The sequence below is a fragment of the Homo sapiens genome, chromosome 12 (assembly GCF_000001405.40).
Source record: "Homo sapiens chromosome 12, GRCh38.p14 Primary Assembly".
Lineage (NCBI taxonomy): Eukaryota > Metazoa > Chordata > Mammalia > Primates > Hominidae > Homo > Homo sapiens.
The window spans coordinates 40,213,925-40,236,105 of record NC_000012.12 but is presented as its reverse complement, the minus strand read 5'-3'; the positions used below and the strand labels follow the sequence as shown (position 1 = coordinate 40,236,105).

Here is a 22,181-nt window from a genome sequence, read left to right as displayed (position 1 = left end):
GAATGACCACTAACCTGGGGGAATATGAGATGTAGGTCCAGATTTTGGGAGCAAACATCGGACTACCAACAGAGATTTGGGGATAATATATAAGGTAATGTTTAAAACCAATGTATTGAATGAGATTTTTGAGAGGCAAAGTATAGAGAAAAGAGATAAGGAGAAGAGATGGAAACAGAAAGAATTTTGGAAATAACTGATATTTAGATTATATTATGGCTGTCCCATCACTAGGTCTAAAAACAGATGCAATTTTAGGACATTTAAATCAAGCTACCCTAATCCTGATCTTCAAAAAAAAAAAAAAAAAAACACACACACACACATTTACTTAATGGTATCAACTTTTTTTTTAATTTGAATCAACACAAAAAACATATACACATATTACCTGAAGTTAGGAGGAGATCTAAGGTCTTCAGTCCAATCACTGACAAGTTTACACTGGCATTATGAACTGTTAGCATTTTAAGAATCAATCTGGAGTTAAAAACAGAAATCAAGATAAGAATGAAATATCATACTCAAAAGTTTGCTTATTTGCATTTTTTTTGCTCACCTATTTTTTATTACTCTCATTGTATTTAATTCCCTGTAGTGAAGCTCATGTGTTTTTGTTGCCTGCTTTTAGAGACAGGGTCTTGCTGTGTCACCCAGGCTGGAATGCAATGGTGCAATCATAGCTCACTGAAACCTCAAACTCCTGGGCTCAAGTGAGCAATCCTCCTGCCTCAGCCTCCTGAGTTGCTAGGGATACAGGTACATGCCACCACACCAGGCTAATTTTTTCATTCTTTTTTGGAGAGACAGGGTTTGCTATTTTGCCTAGGCTGGTCTAAACTTCTGGGTTCAAGTGATCCTCCTGCCTTGGCCTCCCAAAGTCTGGGATTATAGGTGTGAGCCACCGTGCCTGGCCATGTGTGTTTGTTTCTTTCTACAAACCTGAACCAGGCTTATAAAAACTAACAGGGAATGTTAATTAGCTTGATTGTGGTGAATAATTCACAATGTACACATGTCAAATCATCAATTGTATACCTTAAATATAAACAATTTTTAATTGTCAACTATACTTTAATAAAGTTAAAAAAATAAAAAAAAATCAACAGGGGACTATTATGTGTCTCATTTAAAAAGTTAAAAGCACTACTTATTTTCCAATAAATATTCAAATTCAAATATTCAGATTCACTATTTTCACCCAACTCCATATTCAAAATATCATGAAGCCTTATATACATCGAGAGCAAACCCATTTTTATATATGATGTAAATTTATAAATTATCTTAGACATGTTGATATATTAAAATATAGAGATATAATAAAGATGTTAGTTTGTGTATATAAATTAAGAATTCATTTGAATATTTAAATTATTGATTGCTACTGTTTTTAAAAGAGAAATTAATGATATATTAAAAAGTAGTGGGCCGGTGGCCGTTGCTCACGCCTGTAATCTCAGCACTTTGGGACGCCGAGGCGGGGGGATCATGAGGTCAATAGATCAAGACCATCCTGGCCAACATGATGAAACCCTGTCTCTACTAAAAATACAAAAATTAGCTGGGCGTGGTGGCGTACTCCTGCAGTCCCAGCTACTCGAGAGGCTGAGGCAGGAGAATCACTTGAACCCGGGACACAGAGGTTACAGTGAGCCGAGATCACGCCACTGCACGCCAGCCTGGCAACAGAGAAAGACTCTGTCTAAAAAAAAAAAAAAAAAAAAAAAAAAAAAGTGAATTTAGCATATCAATAATGTTTAGTTAGTTCAAGATAAGATTTTAATCCCTATGTTATTAATCCCAAAATATAATCTCTAGTCTATTCCTGCAAAGCATTGTTTGGCTTTACATTATTGGAAGAAGACTGAGCTGGCCACATCTAGAGTTTTGTATGTATTCAAGAAACGTTGCATAATCTCCATTTGGCAATTGGAGGACCTGAATGAAGCCAGTCTTCGATTCTCTGCCAGCCTTCCTCCTAATCACCCTGCCCCTACCTCTCCCTATACCATTCCCACAATTCCTGACTTTATTACCACGGAAGAAATTTTTCTTCAGTACTGGTAAGTCTTTGGAGGGAAAAGGCCTTGAAAAAAGAGAAATCTGTTTTACAATCAATTTTTGCTGGGAGTGATCTAATACACTCCACTGGAGACAGCAGTGTGTCTATCTTCTTCACAACTGCATGGTTTCTGACCCAGAGGACAGGCTTCAAAAACATTCAATGAATAGAAGATGAATGACTGGATGAACAAAGTGAGTGAATGAGTAAGTGAGTGAGTGAATGAAATTTCCTACATAAACTTTTATGTAATTTAATTTGAACAGTTGGTTTGTACAGGAATATGACTAGATGAGTTTCCCAAACACTCCCTGAGGTTATAGACTGGCTCATCTTTGGACTTCCTGGAAATTATCACCCAAACCAAGGGACATTTAAAGTTACAATTCCTAATTACTGGTATATTTTGAGTAATTCCTCATCAAATGCTGTATACTTTAGAACTGATACATAGAATTACAGAGATTAGATTGAAGACGAGAACTCCAATTAATTGTAAATATGCTCTTTCCAAAACACACCCTTTATGTACTGAAAACAAGAAGAGCAACACATTTGTCAAAGAGGGGAAAATGTATAAGCACAGACATGTTCACTTATGGACAAACACATAGCTCTAATTTGTCTAAATTTATAGCACTACTTGACACTGATCAGCAATACAAACACCTGAAAATTTTTCATAAATTAAATTTTCATAAACCATATACCATTGGAAGCCAAAAAATATTCACAATTTCCTTTTCTGTGATAAAGAAAAGTCATATTAGGTATAAAAAAGATTTAAAGTTAATGACAAAAGGTTTGTTTGTTTGTTTGTTTTTGAGACAGAGTGTCGCTCTGTCACCCAGGCTGGAGTGCAGTGGTGCAATCTCGGCTCACTGCAACCTCCGCTCACTGCAACCTCCGCCTCCCAGGTTCAAGTGATTCTCCTTCCTCAGCCTCCTCAGTAGCTTAGAAGATATTTTTTAACTGTCAAGAAACAAAGCTATCCAAAATGTATTTTCCTGGAAACACATTCTTCTTGAGAAAATATTTTCTTAATTAATGATGGCTAAGGAAGTAGTCTCATCTAAGAAGCCATTATGCTGCAAACTGCAAAAACATAGCTGGTAAAATTACTATCAAGATTTGGCTACAGATGTGCTGAAAGTTAATTTCCTCTTTCTTAACTCTTTCTGAAAGCCATAGTTTAAACTTACTGTATATATAGGAATATATATATAAATGTACTATTTAAAGACAGTAGAACATCAACTTTCAAATTACTACTTACAGAACTAACTTTTCTCAGTTCCCATTTTTTTAAGAACTAGTGGTTTGTATCGATTCTATTATTAAAAGCCAAAATCTCTTCATGGTTTGAATTCAAAAGTACTCATCAAAAATCTACAACTTAACCAGTTTTATAATTATATGATTATATTATTAAAATAATAACTTCTGACATGTTACCTTAAATGTTTGCTTTCTAAATCAAACTTCTGAGTTTAAAGCTCTCTATAAATGTAAATCATTGACTCAAGGAAAAATATCTGTATTTTAAAGAATTCCACAGGAGTAGCCTTGGATTGCAAACACAGTGTATCAAGGGAAGGTTGTCATGTGTACAAATAAATACTCAAGGCCATTTGTTTTACATATCTATCATACTTACTGGTGAACACCAAGGACTTCCCAATCATTTCCAACATCCTGGGGTCCCATTAAGCTTTGCATTGTACCTGGACAGACTTCTATTAATTTGCACAGAAGTGACCAACCCACCTGAAAACAAGAAAGACATATATTCACATGTTTTAAAGAATGTTAATAGAGCATACTCAGTCAAACATGAATCTCTTCAATCTTAGTGGAATAGATGCTTATCTCACTTGTAAACAATGGTTATACAACAAAATGATACCCTAAAATGCTTACCCAGAAACAAAAGCAAGCCGTATTCTTAGGATACACCTTTCTCCAAAAATCATACCAGAAAGACATACAAAAAATACAACATTTCAGCCGGCAGTTTGAGACCAATGTGGCCAAGATGGTGAAACCCAGTCTCTACTAAAAATACAAAAATTAGCCAGGCATGGTGATGGGCGCCTGTAATCTCAGCTACTCGGGAGGCTGAGGAAGGAGAATCGCTTGAACCCAGGAGGCAGAGGGTGCAGTGAGCCAAGATTGTGCCACTGCACTCTAGCCTGGATGACAGAGCAAGAATCCATTTCAAATATATATATATTATATATATATATAATTTAATTTATACATAATATATAATATATATAATTTATATATATAAATACATATAATTTCTAAATTATGAAGAACATAGACATGCCAATTGTCTAAATAAGGCAAAATAAAATAAACTATAAAAAATAGTTTTAGAGGTTGTACCAAGATTATTAAGTGCAAGAATGGCTATACCAGATCCTTAGTACTTTTTTTTTCTTGTTTTTTTTTTTTTTTTGGTTTTGTTTTTGTTTTTGAGATAGGGTCTCACTCTGTCACCCAGGCTGGAGTGCAATGGTGCAATCATAGATCACTGCAGCCTAGAACTCCTGTCCTTAGGTGATCCACCCACTTCAGCCTCCCAAGTAGCTGGGACTACAGGTATGTGCCACCACACCCAGCTAATTTTTTTTTTTTTTTTTTTGTGAAGACAGGGGTCTCGCTCTGTTGCCCAGGCTGGTCTCAAGCTCCTGGGCTCAAGCAATCCTCCTGACTTGGCCTCTCAAAGTGCTGGGATTACAGGCGTGAGCCTCTGCACCTGGCCCTTAGTAGGTTTTAAGTCATATCTACCTGACAGAATTTCCTCCACATATTTAAAATTTTAATTATAGGAAAAAATGAAGTGGCTTATAATGAAGGATTAGGTGAAGTTGGAGATTTTAGTAGCAAAATGTAAGTTATCAGAATGGCTGCTCCCCAAGTAATGAAGCTAGAATAATAGAGGCAAGAAACGTGGCATTTTTAGCAATTGAATCTACATCTGATAGGAGAAAAAGAGAAAGAGCTCTATAAAATAGACAGGAGGTAGAACTCCTCAATGGCTCCCTCCAGATTTCTCTAGAATGAATTGATAAGGTCTAGAGATCACAGACACCCCTAGTAGGCTCTTTCACATTTCGAAATAAAATATGAAATTATAGATGCATTTTAAGTATATCTTCACTCAGTCTGTTTACAAGATGCCAACTTGACTAAGTTGCTCTTTACCTCTGAAAAAAAAATTGAAAGTCCTGATTTCAAACCGGAGATGAAAATTAACCTATTCTTCCTACTGTAGACTCCTCCCTCTCTAAATGTAAAGGATCTCCAATTCATTCTATTATACTATAGAACTATACTTGACATGGTCAAAAAAAAAAAAAAAAAGAGAAAGTGCATATATGTACCCTCTAGAGACTAATGGAAAAGTATCTAAGTGTGATGTGTAATAAATACCAATATAATAGAAATACTGAAAGTAAGACTCAGTGTGAGTTGAAATTACTCAGAGAAGAATATAATATGAAGAGGTAGAGCTTAAGCCAGATTGTATAAGAACGGATGAGCGGTGAGGAGAGTAGGCTGCTACATGATAAGGAAGCTGCTACAGGGAAGAGGCTATTTTGGGATAAGGCTGGATGCATAAGTAAAGTTGAATATTGCAAGGAGTTGAATGACAAGGTGAGAAATCTATATGCACCCAATAAGGAATAATGGCACAAGTTTCTTACTCGCTTACGGGAGTAAACAACGGCTATTTTAGGAAGATAAAAATGATTACTCAAGATCTCTTTACAATATTACTTTTGGATCTTTTCCAGATTAAACATAAATTGCTTTATTTTGTCATTACTTCCTTTTACATAATTTCAAATTGCTTTCAAAGGCGGCAATTTCTGATAGCTATTTCTACCTATACTACTCAAGTAGGACATCCTCCTCCACGTAAGCTGAACAGACGTTGACAATCCAGCTGTCATAGAAACTGACTATTTTTGTGCTTTCATAGAATACATCAAGACTTTTTTCCGAACTATTTAAGAAAATAACATTCTGAACAGCTTCTGGTGGTAAAAAAAAAAAAAAAAAAAAAAAAAAAAGTCACATAGGATGCCAAACTCATCTCTGTACCTACAAAGCTGACTCAAGGAAAAAACCTGTTTGTTTTGGTTGGTGAAGCAACAGTATCAGTAAACGCTTTGCAAAAAGATTCAGGCAACTGAGCTCTCCAGCACTACATGGAACTTCTGTGATTAAATAGAATCTCTGGCAGCAAAGCAGAGGTAACAATTGATCCATTAATCTATTCAATTAAAAGCTTATCTCTCTAAGAGAGAAGGTTCCCATCTTGCACAGTTACAATACAATTAAATTGGTAGTTTTACTTTATTATAATTATTCTAAAAACTCAAGCATGTAATTAATGCACAACAGGAAAGAGTCTAGGGGTTAAAGAAAAAATTTTAGCCACTTTCATTTATTTTGCTCCCCTTCTTCAAAGGTTGAACCCTTGAGAATAAAGAGATGTAAAATTTAGGAGCACAGTGAAAAGATAGGCAGGAAAAGAAAAATATAAAGCACCTAGCTTAACCGTCAATTTTCTAAAGACTGTCATTTATGAAGAAACATTAATAAAATATGAAACAAACTTTGAAAATAAAACTGGCAGTCTGGAATATCATGTTAAATGGCATCTAGAAACAAACCTTAATCTTTATTTTAAATAGTAATTAAGAATTACTATTAAATTAAATGAAGGAGAAATTTACCTTAATACCTTAAATTTATCATTAAGAGTTTTTCTTTTGGCACTTCCAGCTAATTCAACATATAAAGCAGTAAAGGATACTTACAGTAATTATACTAATAATATAAAGAAATCTGAAGGAAAAATACTACTTTTAAGTGAGTATTAAAATGTCAGTAGGAGACCCCTTTCTACATCCCCTTGTTAAGACCAATGATAATTTAAATTGATGTCATTGTACCTAGCATGGCCACAGTATTTGTATCAAACCATTTTGCTTTTTACTAGCTTGCACAAAAAGCTTGCGAATTCAGCAGCTAGTAGATTGTATGATGGAAAGAGATTTTGAAGGTGTGAGAAGACTTGAGTCTTAGGTCTGTCACAAGCTCTTTGATCCTCAGTGAGCAGCTTACTCTCACTTCGCTATGACAGTAAAACATCCGGTAATATTTCCAGGAGGGCAGTGAGATTTCAGTGAGAATCAAATATTGGCTGTGCAAAAGAAGGAAACTAGATCCACAGCTTTCACCATATACACAAATCATTTCAAAATGGATTAAAGACTTACATCTCAGACCTGAAAATATGCAACTACTAGAAGAAAACACTGGGGAAATGCTACAGGACATTGGTCTGTGCAATGATTTTTGGGGTAGGACCTCAAAAGCACAGGCAATTACAACAAAAATAGGCAAATGGGATTATATCAAGCTAAAAAGCTTCTGCACAACAAAGAAAATAATTAACAAAGTGAAGAGACAACATAAAGAAAGGGAGAAAATATTTGCAAAATATCCATTCAACAAAAGATTAACAACCAGAATACATAAGGAACTAAAAAAACTCAATTAGCAAAAAAAAAAAAAAAAAAAAAAGTCTTATTTTTAAATGGACAAAAGATCCAAATAGACATTTCTCAAAAGAAGACAGACAAATGGCTAACAGGTACATGAAAAAAAAATCCTAAACTTCACTAATCATTAGGGAGAGGCAAATCAAAACCATAATGAGATATTATCTCACCACAGGCAGAATGGCTATTATCAAAAAGACAAAAAATAACAAATGCTGGTAAGGATGCAGAAAAAGGGGAATGGTGGTACACTGCTGATGGGAATATAAAGTAGCACAGCCATGATGAAACACAGTATGGAGGTATCTTAAAAAACTAAAAAGAGAATTTTCATATGATCCAGTAATCTCATCGCTGGGTATATATCCAAAAAAAGAACATCAGTATATCAAAGATATATCTGAACTCCCATGTTTATTGCAGCCCTGTTCACAATAGTTAAAATACAGAATCACCTTATATGTCTATCAACAGATTAACAAAGAAAATATGGAGGCCGAGGCAGGAGGATTACTTGAGGTCAGGAGTTTGAAACTAACCTGGGCAACATAGCAAGACTCCATCTCTACAAAAAGTAAAAAAAGAAAAAAAAATTAGCTGAGCATGGTGGCACATGCTTATAGTCCTAGCTACCTGGGAGGCTGAGGCAGGAGGACTACTTCAGCCCAGGATTGCAGGCCTGCAGTGAGCTTTGATCACACCACTGCTCTCCAGTCTGGGCAACAGAGTGAGACCCTGTCTCTAAATTAATTACTTAACTAAAAATAAAAGAAAATGTGGTATACATACACAATGGAATATTATTCAGTCATAAAAAATGAAATCCTGTCATTTGCAACAGCATGGGTGGGACTGGAGGTCATTAGGTTAAATTAAATAAGCCAGGTACAGAAATAAAATATTGCATAATCTCACTCATATGTAGGAGCGGAAAAGGTGGATCTCATGGAGGAAGAGAGTAGAATGGTGGTTACCAGAGACTGGAAATGAAAGGATGGGGAGGGATAAAGAGAAGGTGGTTAATGTGTACAAAAATATAATTAGATACAAGCAATTAAGTTAATATTTAATAGTATAGCAGGGAAATTATGGTTAATAATTCATTGCATATTTTAAAATAGCTAGAAGAAAGAAATTGCAACGTTGCCAACACAAAGAAAAATGTTCGAGGTGACGGATATTCCAGTTACCCTGATTTGAACATTACACATTGTATACATGTATCAAATAGCATATGTATCCCCAAAATATATACAACTATGATATATCCAAAAAAGTAATTAATTACTTTTAAAAAAACTCTTCCTTATTTTCCAGCATACTTTGCCTCTGGTACTCTCTAGGCAGAAATACTAAGTGACACTCATAACTACTCCGGACAAGTATGCTCAGGCTTGGGCAATTTCTAAAATTAAGAATTAGGAAGTATGTTCCAGGCTCCCCTGGGTTGTCAAGTATAGCACTGCCTTATCTAGACCCTGCAGACCAAAACGCCTACCCAGGATCTGACTGTCCTGAGCAGTATCAAGCAGGAGTGACTCTATCAAGTACAGAGTCTAGGGAATGAAGGTGGCCAGAATCAGGCACTTCTGAACACCAAAGCAGAGACAAGTAAGAAGGGATGACGTGGGTGCAGAGCAGGAAGCACAATAGGCCAGTGCCCAAAAAGTGACTCATATTCCACAGGCAAAATTCCGACTTTGAGTCTTAAAAGAACAGCATCTTTATTATGCCTCCATCTTTTCTTGGTTTGGTTTGATAGCAGCGTGAAAATCTATAATAGTCAGATGGAAAATATTTCACAGTTGAAAACAAATTAAAATATTTCTTCCAGATGTAAATGTCCTCATATCAAAGAAGCTAGATGGTTCACCCAGACTAGATACAGCTAGATACAGAGATAAACATCAAGATAAAGATAGACCCACACCACTTTAAAGATTGAGATGCCTCATGTCTGTCAAGCCTCTCAACCATTAAGAAACATTGGCTTTCTGACTGCACCTCCAAGGAGTTCAAAGTCCAATTCTCTTTCTCTGCATGAGTTAACATGCAGATGACAAAACTGATTTCAGTTCCCCAAATCTCTAAGTGCTCCGAAGGAAGTTATCACCTTGGCCTATAATTTTGTTTTGACTGTAAATCATTCTTAATTACCATTTTTAAGGCCCCCTTTAAAAAAAAATCCAAGATACATAGCAAATTTCTGGGTTTCCTATGGTACAGATTGTAAAAGTTTCACTTCTACATGCATTTTATATGACAACAGTTGCAAACTATGAGGGTCTCATAAGACATCACTTTCTTTAGATACTACAAGGTATACTACAACTAAAGGCTAGAAATCTTTGAATTTTAAAAAGTGCTGAACTCTACAAGAGTTTGCTAGTGACAAAGTTGCATTTTATCACTATTAATTATTCCCCTTTTCCAAACTATTCATAATCTTCTCATCTAGGACATGCTCTGTATTGGGAAGATACTTGGAATAGTCAAGTCTAAACACTAATGAATTCATCTTGCCAATAACGAGACTAAAACCGAACCCATTTTTATCCTCCTTCTACCACCATCCATACTGTTGGTTTTATAAAGTTACTTCTTAAAGACACTCAGGGAACACATACTGGGGCTCTTCATCCCGTTTACATTGCGTAATGATTTAACAATATTCCCATCTTAAAATCACAGTCAGAGGTTCCTCAAGCCAAATTTTGGGAATAACCAAGAACTCTCGGCTATATTAACATTGCCAGTAAAACGTCTCCTTCCAAACAGAAGGGAGAATGAGTTGAAGTGAAAACAATGCCTTTACCTGCTGCACACTCGCGACTCTCATATAGGAGTCCAAGACGATCAACAGAGGCACATGGATATTTTTGCCTTGAAATAACTTGGAGGCTGGAAAACAAGTGGGTGGGGAAAAGAAGCAAAGTCACAATCCACAGCACCCCCTCTCCTTTTTAGTCTGAAACGGGGAGAAAAGTCAAAAAGGTGAAGACCTTCCTGAAATTCTCAGCTGCTTTCTGCCCTAAGGAAAGGATATGGGAGTTTGCGGCTCCTTAAGAGTCCGGGTTTGAGCAGGGTCAAGGGGAGGAGGACAAAATTTGCAAATGTAAGGAGGGGGAGAAAGTTTGCAAAAATAAAAGCACAGTTTATTTTCAAGTGATTACCGCGCTCGGAGTACGTGAACACCAGCAGATCCTCCAGGATTTGGACCAGCGTTTCTATCTGTTTTCCTTCCTGGACATTGTTCAGCCTGACTATCAACTTCTTCAGAGTTTCCTCGTCCTCTTCGCACCCCTGACAGCTGCCACTAGCCATGGTGGCACCTGCTTCCAACCCGCCGCCCTCCCAGCATGAACGTCCGCTGCTCAGGGAACCGGCAGGGGCGCCGGCCACAGCTCCCCGGGGGCGAGCTCAGCTCACCGCCCGCAGCCAGCGCTCCCCGCGGGCCCCATCGGCGCCCACGCCCGCCTGTTTATGAGGAAGGAGGCAGCTCCCCGCCCCGCGTTGCCCTCCCTCTCCGGAGCCCTCCTGCTCGGCTTCCTCCTCCCCCACTCAGGCCCCAAAAACGAGCTCAGGGGCCTGCCAGAGGCTCCGCCGAGGCGACGGGCCGCGCAGAACTCTGGCGGCGGCCGTGGGGCTGCTGGAGCCGGGCCTGGCTGGGATGACCGTGACCGTGGCCCCCACGCACGCCTAGACCGGACCCCGGGCGGACGCCGCCTCCTGGGACCAGATTCCACCGCAGCGGCGGCGCGGCCGGGAGTCGCGCGGGAAGAAACTGACTCAGCGGACTCCGCTGAGTCCACAGGCCCGGAGCCCCGCAGCGGAGGCGCGCAGTGCGCAGCCCGGCCGGCCACCCTCCGCGACCCGCCAGCCGGGGATCCTGCGGCCCCACGGAAGGTCTGGGAACTGGGAGCAGGAAAAATGAAAGCCGCCTATCTCCAGATCTAAGAATAGAAATCAGGGCGCTGGGAAAAGAGGACACCGCCCAGATGGCCCCTTTTAGGAATACATTGTCTTTAGAGTTCCACCTATAGGGAGATGAGCAATTTTCCCCCAAAGGATGGAAAGAGGGGTTAGCCATCAAAACTGCCCCCGCTACTCTTTTTTATGATTTTTTGTGACTGTTAGTGGGAGAGGAAATAAACATTGTTTCCCTGTGAGTTATCTGAAGCTCTGGTCACCAAAAGGCCACTAAATTAACTTTTGGAAATTTGAGTTGCACTAGGCAGGATCCTGATACTTGGGACACCCGAAAAGTAATCAGCTCTCAGAGCTATTAGAGCTGAGACAAAGGACAGGGTACATGAAATGAAAGGTGAAAAGTTGAGAGAAGCAAACCTAAATACTCTTCTCTTGGTATTCAGAAATACTTATGAGTATGGGTGTCTATAACCCCAAAGTTTTTTGGTTTTGTCTTTTGATTGTTTGTTTGTTTGTTCTGTTAAGTACCTAAGTAATGTGTTTTTAGGAAAAGAAACCTAGCAAGAACATTGTAGACAAGGCTAGGCAAAGATGATCTATCCTTCAGGTGATGTGTCTGTCCTCAAGATCACTTACAAAGAAGAGGATTGGACTGGAAGTTACTACTTCACAATTTTAGTTTTGTTTTCACATCTGTTACTTCAATCCTGATGACAATTCTGAAATGGATACAACTACTACTATGTATCCTTCTTTCACTAGTGAGGAAATTGAGATTTGGAATTGAGAAGTGAAGAGCTTTGCTGGAGTCACACAGGTGGGAAGTTGAGAGCCAGGACTTCAACCCAGCAAATCTCCTAACTCCAGGTAGAAGGTTCTTCATGCTCTACCACTTTAATAAGAATGCTCTAGACTTTGTTAATACATTAGATTAGTAAGATAGCAAACTCCTACTCAACCTGGATATTGGGTCTATGTCTTGTTGTTATAGAGTCTTTAACTTTTACAGAGACATGCTAAAATATTTATAGTTGAAATGGTTAGGATTTCTTTCAAAGTCATCCAGTGGTGGAGGAAAAGATGAAATGTGTGGAGATAGAGATAACGATAACAACTTTTGAATTGATAATTGTTGAAGATAATATGAGATGGGTTCATGTGGTCTGTTCTACTATTGTATCTATATAAAATTTTCCATAATTTAACAAAAAACTCCCAATCTTACAATATTTATCAGACCTACAGTGTATTATTTTCTAAGTTGTTTCTAAACTTGTTTCCATTTCTGATGACTTAATCAATGTCTCAAACATTTCTAGGCATTCTCCATCTCATGCATTCCTTCTGTTCCTCTGCATTAGTTTCTCCCTTCCTGTTCTACTGAATTACAACCTTGCAAGAAATTAAAACCTACCTCCCTTCCAAAGAAAAATAAATCTAAATTAAAAGATGTCTCCTAATTTCCACAATTCATTCATCCATCTATTGCCTATTTATTATCTACTCTATATTGGCCAGACTGTGAGTAGACAGTGTGAAAATATGAATTATTTGTTGGGAGCATTCTCCCATGAACTACTGCAGTGTTAAGGTAAAGTATTCTCTTAGTTTTCAAAAATGTTTAATTGATTGACTGAAATTCCAAGATTTATCAACTCTTCAAGTAGTTAACAAGACTGAAAATGAAGATTAAGGCATGAATTTATGATGGAAGCAGGGTTCAGTGGAGAATAAAATGGTGCTAGAACATTTGGCTAATTTCCTGAAAAGAAAAAAAATAAAACTGACATTACTAATTACAGCAAACATCAAATAGATTAAAAAGTTAAATAAAAATAACTTCAAAAATAAAATATAAATTAATAGTTATATAATCTTGAAAAAGGAAACATAAAAACAAAAAAGAAATCACATAAGGGTAGTATATGTGACTCCATCAAATTTAAATTTTCTGCAGTCAAAGAAAAAATACCCAATAATGAAACTAGAAGTCAAACGGCAAACAGGAAGAAAAAATTTGAAATACATATGATGAAATACAATTTGCCTTCAACTTTCAAAAGTTCTTACAAATCACTGGGAGGAGGGTATTACGCCACAGATAGACCAGGAAAAAAAATAATAAACTAAGGTTTTGAAAAGGAAATTCATTTTGAATGACCAATAAGTATTTTTTAATGTCATCATTATAAAAAAAATGTGTTCCTAAACATGAGTGATGCACAAGCATAAAGTGCAATTGTGTGTGTGTGTGTGTATGATGACAATGAAAGGGAAACCTTGAAAATAAATTAACAAATATTTACAAAACCTTTATGAATAAATTATTGAACTCTGTTAAAAGGCATTAAAAAGGCATGAATAAATATTAATATCACATTAATTAATGGGAAAACTAAATTCAAAAATATGTCAATTCTCTACAAAGTAATAAAAAACAATGCAAGATTAGTGAAATTCTCAACAAGATTTACATAGATTTCAGCAAGATCAAAAGGCCTAGTATAGACTAGACACTTTTGAAGAAGGACAAGATGGGAGAATTGCCATCTTGTCCTTTTGGATGTCCAATTGACATCCATTCAGAGTATGTAGTAGCCTTTCTCTATCAATTTCTGAAGAAGGAAAAAGTACCCCTAGGATGAAAGCGGGGAGCCCTGAAAGCACATAGTTTACCCAGCAGGCAGTCTTTCTATGAATTAGAAAAAAGTGCCTTTTAGGTAGGCACAGCCTTATATCTGGGTGTATCAAGCAGGATTTGGATTTCAGTCTCTACCCTGGTGTTCTTATGGAGGACACAACTTATACAGTATAGGAAGCATTATACTTTTTTGAAGCTATAGAAATTAATTGGCATGTTATTGACACAGCTATACAAAGTGACCAATGAGAGTATAGAAAACCCAGAAACACATCTTCACATATATGGAAATGATATATGAGAGATGTTGCATTATGTATCAGTGGAAAAAAAAAGGGCAATTTGATAAATGAATCTGAGACCACTGTTTGTGGAAAAAGCATCAAATGATTATGCCTACCTCACACCATATTCAAAAATAAATTCCACATGGATTGAACATTTTTGTATAAAAAATGAAAACAGGCCAGGTGCAGTGGCTCATGACTGTAATCCCAGCACTTTGGGAGGCCCAGGTGGGATGATCACTTGAGCTCAGGAGTTCGAGACCAGCCTGGCCAACATGGTGAAACCCCGTCTCCACTAAAAATACAAAAATTAGCCAGGTGTGGTGGCACGTGCATGTAATCCGAGCTACTGGGGAGACCGAGCCAGGAGAATTGCTTGAACCCAGGAGGCAGAGATTGCAGTGAGCCAAGATCGCACCATTGCACTCCAGCCTGAGTGAAGAAGTGAGACTGTCTCAAAAAAAAAAAAAAATTTGAAAAAAATATAGAAAACTATCTGACATTAAGAGGGAAAGAAACAAAACAAAAATTACAGTTAAGGCCAGGTATGGTGGCTCACACCTGTAATCCAAGCACTTTGGGAAGCCGAGGTGGGAGGCTTACTTGAGGCCAAGAGTTAAGACGATCCTGGGAAACATAGAGAGACCTTGTCTCTACAAAATATTTAAAAATTAGCCAGGTATGGTAGTGCATGCCAGTAGTCCTAACTTCTCAGGAAGCTTGAGGCAAGGGGATCACTTGATTCCAGGAGTTATAGGTTACACTGAGCTACAATTGTGACACTGCACTCCAGCTTGAGGGACAGAGCAAGGCCCTGTCTCTAAACTAAAAAAAAATAAAATAAAATCACAGTTCATATAGGAAAAAATTATTAAATTTACAGACATTAAAATCTAACACTATACAAAAGACTCCATCAACAAAGTTAAAAGATGACCATAGGCTGGAAGATTTTGGGAAAGCGTGTAACAATTAAAAATTAATAAGAAGAATATATAAAAGGTACTATCACAAATTATAAATGAAAAGATAAGTATCCTAGTTTTTATATATATAAGTTTAAAAAATATGGCCAGGCACGGTGGCTCATGCCTTAATACCAGCACTTTAGGAGGCCAAGGTGGGTGGATCACTTGAGGCCAGGAGTTTGAGACCAGCCTGACCAACATGGTGAAACCCTGTCTTACTAAAAATATAAAAATTAGCCAGTTGTGGTGGTGCATGCCTGTAATCACAGCTACTTGGGAGGTTGAGGCAGGAGAATTGCTTGAACCCAGGAGGTACAGGTTGCAGTGAGCCAAGATGGCACCACTGCACTCCAACCTGGGCCACAGGGCGAGAATATGTCTAAAAATATATATATTATATATATATGTGTACATATATGTACATATATATGTACATTATATATATGTACATTATATATATGTACATTATATATATGGCAATATGTAGAAGAGGAAAGGCCAGTAAACTTCATGAACCTATCCAAAGATGCTCAATTACACAAGTAATCAAGGAAATAAAAATTAAAGCCATAATGAGATACCATTTCACAACCATCTCATTAACCACAAACTTAAAGTTGGATAATACCAGTAACTACTGGCTGGGATGTGGAACAACTAGAATACTTTTTGTAGTACTGGTAAGAGTGTAAATCAGAGCAAGCACCTTGGAGAGCACATGGCAAAATCTAGGAAAGCTGATGTGTCTATCCTATGACCTGACATTTTCACTCTAAGGCTGTTTCTTAAAGAAATTCTCAAATGTACATAAGGACATTTATGTAAGAATCTTCAGTGTATCATTTTTTGCTTATAATGAAACTGTAGACCATATGAATATCTATCAACACTTAAAGTGAATATATTCATATAATGAACTTTTATAAATCTGTGAAAACTATTAAACTAGAGCTCCATATATTAGTGGCTAAAGAGCAAAAAATTGTAATACTGGACTTTTTACAAGTTGCAGAGGATACTTATAGCATGATATCAGTGCTCCAATGCTATAAAATATGCAAGGTTTCATATACTTTAGGGATATATATGTATGTATAAAAGTATAAAAATTATACTTGGGAATAATATTTACCAAATTCTAGCTAGTGGTTATCTCTGGGGAGAAGAAAGTAGAAATGCATCCAGGAAGGATATTTTACAGGCTACAAGTGTATCTGTAACTTTCTTCTTCTTTAAGCTTGTCATTGGGTACATGGGTATTCATTACATTATTACCCGTATTCTGTTTCTAACTTATTTCATAATAAAAATAATTAAACATATTTTCAACTTCACTGATGCTCAAAGTAATAAATCAATACATTAACACTTTTCATTCACCAAATTATTAAAGAAGTCTTTGAAATTTGTGTGGGAGTTTCTTATGAGGAAATAATAAATTATTCACAATATATGAGAAAACAATGTCATGAAATTCCAGAATTTTGATCCAAATTTTCCAAAAACACCCAAAAAAGTGCATGCCTAATAAAACTACTGAAAGTAGATAAGACACACATGTAACAATGCTTCATGTTAGATGATGACATAAACAGTCAATTAACATAGTTTTGTATATGTGTTATATACTGTATTGTTACAATAAAATGAGCTAGAGTAAAAAATGCTATTAAGTATAAGGAAGAAAAAATACATTTACTGTTTATTAAGTGAAAGGGGATCATCATAAGGTCTTCATCATCATCATCTTCACATTGAGTTGGCTGAGAAGAGGAGGAGGAGGAGAAGAACTTGGTCTTGCTCTCTCAGGGGTGACAGAGGTGGAAGAAGAGGTAGAGAAGGTGGAAGAGAAGCCACAAAGTGAAGGCATCTAAGACTTATATGTGGAGCTACACAGTTCAATCTCGTATCGTTCAAGGGTCAACTGTACTTCATTGATAACTGAAAATTCCAGGAGGACATCCTGGATTTTGTTCTATACCAACTCTTCAAAACAGTTCCTGGCACACAGGAGCCATTAGAGGAATATTTGTTACTTAGATGAATAACTGAATGAATGGAAATGGAAGGCCAGAAGAATAAAATGATCTTCCCAAAGGCATCACTAAGAGGCAGAACTGGACTGTGTGATGCCAGGTTCCCAGTCCAAACTTTTTCCATCACTTTATTGTTTTTAGGTGAGTTTCATTAAACCAGAAATAAGCCATCTAATCGCTGAAACTGCACTTATCCTTTATCATCTGTGCCTTATGTATACTGAAAAAAAAAACATTTTTTCTGGTTTCTGAACTAGAGATAAAAATTACAACTGTGCTGTGGTATGATATTCTCATATCAGTTGAAATAATCACTCATTAAAGTCAAATCCGAGTCACTCTGAGATTATAACAGCAGAGTATTCACAGTCTTCACGCTTGGTTCCCTCAGAAAAGCAGTCTTCCAAAATTATATGGCAATATTATATTCTAGTTTAAAAGTTTTAAAAGTGCATGTGTATAGTAAGTGTATCAGAGACAACTCGAATGGTGCTGAAACCAAGCCATTGTCTATTTCACCCAAAACAGATCATTGCCTTTATGTTGCTGGCTATATTATAGGTAAAGAAATATTTATTGGATTAAATTAAATTATTAGTCATGATATTTAATCTCTGCATGGTATTTAATCTCTATTATATGAAGAACAAGAATAAAATGATGAATCTTTTCATCACCTTTCTTTATAGGAAAAAAGTAACTTGAAATTTCTTTTTGCAGAGACATTGTTTTTTCAAGTCAATAACTTTAAAATATCCTTAGAATATAATTTTATGACCTTACCAAAGGTAATTATAAAATAAAGACACAAATATGCTTATTTTCCAAATGAAAAAAATATGTTTGGATTATATCCTTCACCACTGGTACTAGAGTTTCGGAAAAATCCAGATTTTTTTTTTACTATCACATGGATGATTTTAATTAAACCTGCTATTAGGAGCACACATCTTTTTAGAGTATATTAAATATGGTTTTTTTACTTTGTTTAGAGTTCTGTGTGAAATTAATAAGAAGGCAAATTCTGACAAGAATTTATGTAGAAAGAAGTATATTTATATATAGAAACAAGTATCTCCCAGGGTATTTATTAAGTCAACAACTGTTGTGTACCTATTGTTTGTGGACTCTGCTGGGTTGGGAATGCAAAAGACCCAATCTCTACCCTGAAGCGGCTCACAATCTAGTGAGACAAATACTCAAACAATTAAGAAGCAATACAACACTGTTACATTATAATATACAATAGTAATTGCTATAAGGGGAGAAAGGGAAAGTTTCCTAAGACTGCCTAGAAAGTCCTGAGTTTGATGGACTCACCATGCTTAGAAAGGAAGAAAGAGAGCAGACTCAGGAATGTTAAGAAGTGAAAGAGTAAAAGGAGGCTCAGGAGGTACAGGGAGAGGGTGAGAGGAGAAAAAAGGAGTACAAGCAGCTACTTAAACAGAGAAGTGTTTACCAGTAAGGTCAAAAGCAGGAAGAACTGAAAAGTGCCCTTGAGATTGGGTAACAGTGACAACCTTACTGAGAACAGTTCTGCACAGTGGTGAGCTCTGAAATCCAAATGTAGCATGCTCACTGGGCTGTGAATGGGAATGGATGACTGTTTTACAGGTAAAGTTAATCTTCAGGTTTTTTTTTATATTAATGAGGTCACTTTTTTCCCATTGTAAGTATCTTTAAGAAGAGTATTTCTGAATCTACTTCTTGCCTCTTTTTATTATCTCTACATTACCATTGTCACCTTTTCCATAAAATTAGTGTTTCTCTCCAAGTAAAAGCAATAACCCTGCTAAAACACAATTTAAGTTGCTATAAACAATTGAAAACATACTTGTTTAACTGTACACAACAAAAGGAACATTAAACCAATAAGAATGTTGACACAGTCCCCTCCACCACAGGGGTATGTTGTAATTAGCAGCCAGAACATGGCAACTATAGAGAGAAACTCCTCACCCCCATAAGATCTTGGGGAAAAATTGAAGGATAAAATCAACAAAAGCAGATCAGATTAAAACTAATATATTAAAATCACTTTGAAGAAAGACAACTGTACCCAGGCAGGCAACAGTATATTTAACTGATTAAATGTATTAACATATCTAAAGAACAAGTGTATTATCTGAAAGGGATTGACCACGAACACACAGAAAAAAACAAGCAGTAAACTTCAGTAATTGCCATCTAGGAAAAGTCCTATTAACATAAATTTTGGGAGAAAAGTGGAGGAAAAGGAGACTGAACTGTTGGAGAGCATGTCTTCACTAGTGGATTTTGGACACTTGGGTGAAGCTTCCCTATTACCAAAATTAATGAACAAATGAATTCAGCAATTGTTTACTGAGAATCTGTTATTCACCAGGCACTGGGGATACAAAAATAGACAGAGTTTATGATCTAGGGATGTTATAGTGCTGAGTAATACAGGTGTCGCAATGAGGGGATGAGAATACATTAAAATGAGGTTACTATGAGAATACATTTAAAAGGAGACCTTTTTAGAATAAGACATAAGATGAGAGAAGGCTTTCTTCTAGCCTGTGTTCCTGGCACAAACCTGAAGGCAAAAGAGAGCAAGACAGGCATTCTAGAAACTCAATGATATTCAGTACGGCTAGAGCCAGGAATGCAAACCAGAGAGTTGTTATAAGTTGTTTTCCCCTGGAAGCAGATTCTCAGAAACAGAGATTAGTGTGCAGAAGGTTTATCTTTACCAGGTAATATGGAAGAGAAGGGAAGGAAGGAAATGAGATTGAGAGGAGAGAAAAGTCGGGCTGTGATAGTCTTAACAGAGGCCTCAGCCAACCCTACCGGGAGCTCTGAAGCTGAGATGGCCCTTCAGAGCTGTCCTGAATTGAAATGACAGGACCAGATCTCTACAATAACTTCATGTATATCAGCCATTTGATATATGGAACTCCGAAAACAGATGACAGCTGAGGGCTGACTACCAACAGCAGTGCCAGTAGCTGTCAGAATAAACCTTTCAGTCTGGAAGGCAGATCTGGTAGCTGGATGACAGCATGATAGTAAGTGAGAGGGGAGATAAAGCTGAGAAAGTAGCCAAGGCCATACCATGAAGGGTCTTGTAAGTCATGTTAGGGGCTTTGGACTTTATCTAAACAAAACAAGGTGGCCACTGCAAAGTCTTCCTTAAGATAGTGAGTTGCAAATATTCGTACTTTTAAGTGATCATTATGCCAGTGTTTATTCTTTTAGGGTGGGAAAAGAGACAAAAATGACAAGATTGGAGGAAGAGGAAAAGAAGGTATTTTAGGAGGCTATTGAAGGGATCCAGGAGAGAGATGATGGCAGCCTGAATGGGGCCATGGCAATAGAATTGGAAAACAGTTAATGGATTAAGACAAATTTCAGTCACAGAATGGGTTAAATTGGTTTTCTGATTTTATGTGAGGGTGCAAAGGAAGTAATATGAATGCTTACAAAATAAGTGATAGTGGTGGTATTCACCAAGCCAAGTACCACCAGAGATGGAACAAGGCTCAGTGGGGGAGGGGTGGAGATAGGAGTAACTAGTTCAATTTTAGAATCCTAGATGTTACATGTGAGTAGCATATCCAAGTGGTATGTGGCTATACCTTCTGGTCAGGAGTTAAGAGGAAAAAAAATGTAGCTTCCAGTAGATTTGCCTCCAATTTAAAAATAATAAATTATTCTTAGGAAAAAATTTAATATCTCAGAGAAAGCTATAGAATAGGAAAAGAACACCTAGGACAGAGCTCTAAAAAATACTGTCTTTGTCTGTTTGGGCTGCTATAACAAATTATATTAGAACAGGTAATTTATAAACAACAGAATTTATTACTCACAGTTTTGGAGGCTGGGAAGTCCACTATTAAGGCACCATCAGATCTTTTGTCTGGTCAAGACCTGTTCTTCCAGATGGTGCCTTCTTGCTGCATCCACACATGGCAAAAGGGGTGAACGTTGTGTCTTCACATGGTAGAAGGGACTAATGCTATGTCCTCACATGGCAGAAAGGGTATAAGAAACTAGTGCATTCCTTTCAATCTCATTTATAATGGCACTAATACCATTCTCTACCCTCATGAATCACTTCCCCAAATCCTCACTTATTAGTGGTGTATCACAGTGGGTATCAAGTTCCAACATATGAATTTAGGGGGCATCAACATTCAGACCATAGCAGATACCAACATTTAAGGAATGGAAAGAAAAGGACATTTGTAAGGACAAATAAGCTCCAGGAGCTAATGTGCCACCATGTCTCTTAGTGTTAGTGGCAGGGACATAGTGGTTTTCTTGCCAAGAGCTATTACAGAAGGGTGGTGTGGGCTGAAGCCAGCCCACAGGGTTCATGAATCAGTGAGTAGAAAGTCAGGGCCTATGCTATGATTTGAATGTATGTGTCTCCCCAAAATTCATACATTTGGACTCTAAGACCCAATGTGACAGTATTAACAGATGGGGCCTTTAAGAGGTAATTAAGCCATGAGGATTCCGTCCTCATGAATGGGAATAGTAGGCTTATAAAAGGGCTCAAGGGAACTAACAAGGCCCTTCTTGCCCTTCTACCATTTTAGAACACAGCAACAAGGTACATTGATCTTGTTGCTATGTACAAGGTACATAGATTTCTCCAAAACTATGAGAAATAAATTTCTTTTGTCAATAAATTACCCAG

General features: G+C 37.1%; 1 protein-coding gene and 2 long non-coding RNA genes across 13 annotated transcripts in view, besides 2 other annotated features; 2 read left to right on the top strand and 1 right to left on the bottom strand.

Moving 5' to 3' along the window:
• Positions 1–11,109, bottom strand: part of LRRK2 (leucine rich repeat kinase 2) — a 144,289-nt gene extending 133,180 nt beyond the window's left edge. For all 10 annotated transcript variants that reach the window (XR_007063041.1, NM_198578.4, XM_005268629.5 and 7 more), the window contains exons 1-4: positions 10,824–11,109; positions 10,466–10,551; positions 3,723–3,832; positions 392–480 (exon numbers count right to left, since the gene is read on the bottom strand). Coding sequence is in view for 9 of the 10 variants with exons in the window: in NM_198578.4 (NP_940980.4) it covers positions 392–480; positions 3,723–3,832; positions 10,466–10,551; positions 10,824–10,974 (436 nt within the window). In the remaining variant the exon portion in view is untranslated. The remainder of the gene's footprint in view (positions 1–391; positions 481–3,722; positions 3,833–10,465; positions 10,552–10,823) is intronic.
• Positions 9,696–9,785: an enhancer, noted in NCBI's record as "active region_6207". NCBI's record gives its function as "activates an Ori minimal core promoter by ATAC-STARR-seq in GM12878 lymphoblastoid cells {active_cell/tissue: GM12878}" and the evidence as "EXISTENCE:reporter gene assay evidence [ECO:0000049][PMID:35858748]".
• Positions 10,984–11,343: a silencer, noted in NCBI's record as "silent region_4355". NCBI's record gives its function as "represses an Ori minimal core promoter by ATAC-STARR-seq in GM12878 lymphoblastoid cells {active_cell/tissue: GM12878}" and the evidence as "EXISTENCE:reporter gene assay evidence [ECO:0000049][PMID:35858748]".
• Positions 11,203–13,030, top strand: LINC01779 (long intergenic non-protein coding RNA 1779). Its single transcript, NR_186584.1, has one exon. It is a non-coding gene; the product is annotated as a long intergenic non-protein coding RNA 1779 (long non-coding RNA).
• The window catches only part of LRRK2-DT (LRRK2 divergent transcript), an 82,057-nt gene continuing 72,159 nt past the window's right edge, over positions 12,284–22,181 (top strand). For both annotated transcript variants that reach the window (NR_186757.1, NR_186756.1), the window contains exon 1: positions 12,284–12,447. This is a non-coding gene — a long non-coding RNA (LRRK2 divergent transcript). The remainder of the gene's footprint in view (positions 12,448–22,181) is intronic.